This window comes from Homo sapiens, chromosome 9 (assembly GCF_000001405.40).
Source record: "Homo sapiens chromosome 9, GRCh38.p14 Primary Assembly".
Taxonomy (NCBI): Eukaryota; Metazoa; Chordata; class Mammalia; order Primates; family Hominidae; genus Homo; species Homo sapiens.
The window spans coordinates 118481939-118486471 of NC_000009.12; the positions used below are offsets into that span (position 1 = coordinate 118481939).

The window sequence follows — 4533 nt, forward strand, 5'->3', positions numbered from 1 at the left end:
CCCTCATTGTGGACTACACTTCTTTCAATTATCCAAAACATCACCTTGACCTCCCATATTATATATTGCACTGCTACAATGTTATTACATCTCTTTTTCTCAGTAGTCTGTGAACTCCTCACAGGTAAAAGTCTTGTTTTATATTGCTCACAATAGTGCATCACCTGATGAGTGCAGTCAGTCGATGAGTACTGGTAAATAGCAGAAATGTATGCAACTTTCTTAATAAGCACTATCTCTTATATGTATAATAACCTGTGGGCTAGGGGAGTATAATGTGTCTGTTTGAGTACACATATAACCTTGGAAAAACACAGCAGGAAAAGACAGGAGATGGGTCTGATCACGGGCAGCCATAAGAACAACTGTGAGCAAAGTTTATAAGATGCCTTTTCTCTTTGCAGGAGGTACATCCATTTGGCGATCAAATAGGAAAAACACAGTCAGGTTTGGAGAGGAAACCTGGTGTTTGCTTTGTACTGGAGACAGGCCCTCAGGCTGCTGCCTTATCCTGGGGCCAGGGGTAGGGGCTGATTGTTCCAGTATCCTTTCTTGTGGAAGCAACTGCTTTGTTCATTGATCAAAGGCCCCTTCCATTCCACATCCTACACTTCAGTGCCACCTTTGTCACATACTGCTGGAGGGAGGCCCCCTCCCTCTTTAGGCTGATGCTATTTCCTACCATGGAAGGAGCAGTTGAGTTTGGTTGCTAAGACTCAGTTCTGTCACAATTTGTTTTTGACATTGCTTTCTGTTTTAGATCTCTGATTTAACAACTGTTGAATTTCATTTTTTAAAGAGAAAATGTACTGGGACTCTGCTGACAAGGAGAGAAGCAGTATGCTAAGAGCATGGAGAGAATTAATGTTAGAGAAATACAGGTTAGAAATTTAGCTCTACCATTTCCTCACTGTGCTACCTTGGGCAAGTTACTTAACTTCTCTGTGCATCGGTTTCCATATCCCCAAAGTTTGAATTGCAATATCTATCACATAAGATTTTCTTGATAATCAAGATGGTGAGTGTTTTTATAAAAAATTTCTGGTCCATACTATGCTGTACACATAGTGATCCCCTGCACTGTCTCTGGATTCATTGTCCTATACCTTTATAATCACCCAATGTTATGGTTTGAATGATGATGTCGCCTCTAAACTCAAGTTGAAAATTAATCCCCAATGTAACAATATTAAATTGTGTTGCTTTGGGGAGATCATTGAGTCATGAGAACTCCATCCTTATAAATGGGATTAGCACTCCATAAAAGGGCTTGAGGTTGAAGGGAGCACTTTCTTGCCCTTTTTTCTCTTTTGCCACATGAGGACACAACTTTCATCCCCTCCGGAGGATGCAGCAACAACGTACCCTCTTGGAAGCATAGCGTGGGGTTTCACCAGACACCAAATCTGCCAGCACCTTGATCATAGACTATTAATCTGCAGAACTGTGAAACGTAAACTTTTGTTGTTTATAAATTACCCAATGTCAGATATTTTGTTTTAGCAGAACAAATGGATAGTGGCACCCAAAAAAGTGAGTGTGCTGCTAGTAGAAAAGAAAGATCTTTGTCTCTCCTGACCCCACCTCTTGATGTTTTTATCACTGGAGAATATATAGGATTCTCTGATATAGTTGAGTGATTGCCATAGAGGCAGTTATGAAGTAAAAGAAGTCGTTCAACCTATTTATCAAAGGCCTTGCAAGCTTCTGCTTCAAGGTAGGTGAATCAATTAGGCAGTATTGAACGGGGAAAGTTAATCTGCATCCAAAGCATTTTACTGCACAAACAAGTTAAATAAAAAATCAAGTGCAGACCAATTGACTTTACCCCACTGAGGGTGGAATTGAAGGAGAAGGAACCATTCCCTGTCAAAGTCTTGTAATCCTTTCCTACCTCTGCCTTAGACAAGGAGCAGAAAGCACGTGGGAATAAGAGACTGGGGGTTCCTGACATGTGACAAACAACAATGCAATGGTGATCATTAGCTTGGAGAATTAAAGACTCTTGTGAGTATCACTGCTCTTTTGGTGACTCAGTAGGACTTTTACCTAGAGGAATGTTTGGGCCAGTGGGCTTCTGTTACAGGGAAATCATTACTTCCAAAGAGTATTTTTTTAATTCTCTTTGCATATATTCTATTAATTGGGGTTGAGTCTTAGCATCATCTCTGACATCTTTCTCTCTCTCTCTCTCTCTCTCTCTCTCTCTCTCTCTTTCTTTCCGTACCCTGCACTCAAGCACAGGGTCATCCTTAAATGGGCCATGTTAGCATTTTAGTCACTTTCTCTCATTCTAATTGCCACCCCCTTATTCATATTCTCATGAACTCTTGCATAGAATACTACAGGATTATTTAACTATATAATCCTTTTCTAGTGTTTATTCTGTACACTAAAGCTGAATTAGTCTTCAATATGACATAGTGGAAATAATGCATACTTTGGTGTTAGAGAGACTCTATTTTGTTTCTCTGCTTAGCTATTTAATGACACTAGATCAATTACTTAATTTTTCTGAGCCCCATCTGTAAAGTGGGGATAAGTTACAGACTGTAACTCACAACATATTTGTGATCAATAAAAGTAGTAGTCTCTGATAAGCATTTAGTACAATGCCTGACACCTAGCAAGTGCTCGATATATAGAAGCTGCTATTGGAACACCGTAAGAGTTAGTTGGAAAATGACTTCTTTTCTGATTTTCTCATTGTTCTCTTAAGACTCCATTTTTCTTGTGAACAGAAGACATTTCTTATTCATCTGGGTATCAACACAAGCATGTGCAGTACAGCACATAAGCAAGCATTTATGCAATTTCATCTATTATAATTAAGGAAAAGTCCCAATTTTACTATTTATTTTGCAGTTAAACATAAAGGGTGGGGGGTTTGTTTCCAGATGGGGCAATCGTGTAAACAAAGATGTGGAAACAGAGATCAAGGAGTAAAACATAGTAAATATCTACTCTGTGCAAAATCCACCAGCTGTGCCTCAAAAGATAATTTATGTAGGAAATCAATGAGATATACTGTGGGAGGGGATTACAGAGAGGGTCCTGGAGGTCCTAGAATGCTAGGCTATGTGTGCATGGCACTGGGGAGCTATCAGGAGTTTCTGAGCAGCGGGAGTGACTGAACTTGGAAAAAGAAAATGTCCACCCATCTAGGTTGGAAAAAGACAGGGTACAATAGCTTAAGAGCTCAGAACAAATCACCCAATTCTATTTCCCGAATTGTTCATCTTCTATGGGGCATGATGAATGCTGACTTTAGACTCCTTCCTTTGGTTCTGCCAGCAATTCAGTAGCTTAATCTTTTTCCAATCTCAACTGTTGCCTAATAATCTGTTCCAGGCACAGAAATTTCATTAGCTCCTCAATGATGTCCACAGGCTTTGAGTGGATTTCATCTGTTAAACTGCTTTTATTTTAGCTACTATACAAATTACCCTCTGCCTGAGCAAAAAAAAAAAAAAAAAATAGGGTGGGGTGGGATGCAGGGAGGAGGGAGGAGGGAGTGGAGATAGAGGAGAAAAGAATGGCTGAAGCCCTTCTGCCCTTCTCAAACAACTTTCTTCTTCTTAAAAATAGATGTCCAAAGGAGAAATTGGATTCTAAAAGTGATGACTCCATAATGGAGTGACCCCAAATCTTCTAAACGGTAGCTTAAGAGGGGGGTCCCCAGTTATGACCAGTTTCATGCGCGTCCGTGTGAAGAGACCACCAAACAGGCTTTGTGTGAGCAACGTGGATGTTTATTTCACCTGGGTGCAGGCGGGCTGAGTCCGAAAAGAGAGTCAGAGGAGGGAGATAAGGGTGGGGCTGTTTTATAGGATTTGGGTAGGTAAAGGAAAATTACAGCCAAAGGGGGTTTGTTATCTGGCAGGCAGGAGTGGGGGGGTCGCAAGGTGCTCAGTGGGGGGTGCTTTTTGAGCCAGGATGAGATGGGAAAAGGACTTTCACAAGGTAATGTCATCACTTAAGGCAAGGACCGGCCATTTATACTTCTTTTGTGGTGGAATGTCATCAGTTAAGATGGGGCAGGGCATATTCACTTCTTTTGTGATTCTTCACTTACTTCAGGCCATCTGGGCTTATATGTGCAAGTCACAGGGGATGTGATGGCTTGGCTTGGGCTCAGAGGCCTGACATTCCTGCCTTCTTATATTAATAAGAAAAATAAAACAAAATAGTGTCAAAGTGTTGGGGTGGCGAAAATTTTTGGGGGGTGATATGGAGAGAGAATGGGTGAGGTTTCTCAGGGCTGCTTCAAGCGGGATTAGGGGCGGCGTGGGAACCTAGAGTGGGAGAGATTAAGCTGCAGGGAGGTCTTGTGGTAAGGGGTGATATTGTGGGGATGTTAGAAGAAACATTTGTCATATAGAATGATTGGTGATGGCCTGGATATGGTTTTGGATGAATTGAGAAACCAAATGGAATAACAGAAGGAGAAAAACAGGTATAAAAGGTCTAAGAATTGGGATGACTCAGGATATCTGATTAGAGAGTGCCTAAGGAGATTCAGCATAGTCCTGC

General features: G+C 41.1%; 2 annotated features.

Annotated features, from left to right (window-relative positions):
- Positions 263-812: an enhancer, noted in NCBI's record as "NANOG hESC enhancer chr9:121244479-121245028 (GRCh37/hg19 assembly coordinates)". NCBI's record gives its function as "activates a minimal SCP1, AML or CMV promoter by ChIP-STARR-seq in naive H9 embryonic stem cells {active_cell/tissue: H9 hESC(naive)}" and the evidence as "EXISTENCE:reporter gene assay evidence [ECO:0000049][PMID:30033119]".
- Positions 3744-4288: an enhancer, noted in NCBI's record as "OCT4-NANOG hESC enhancer chr9:121247960-121248504 (GRCh37/hg19 assembly coordinates)". NCBI's record gives its function as "activates a minimal SCP1, AML or CMV promoter by ChIP-STARR-seq in naive H9 embryonic stem cells {active_cell/tissue: H9 hESC(naive)}" and the evidence as "EXISTENCE:reporter gene assay evidence [ECO:0000049][PMID:30033119]".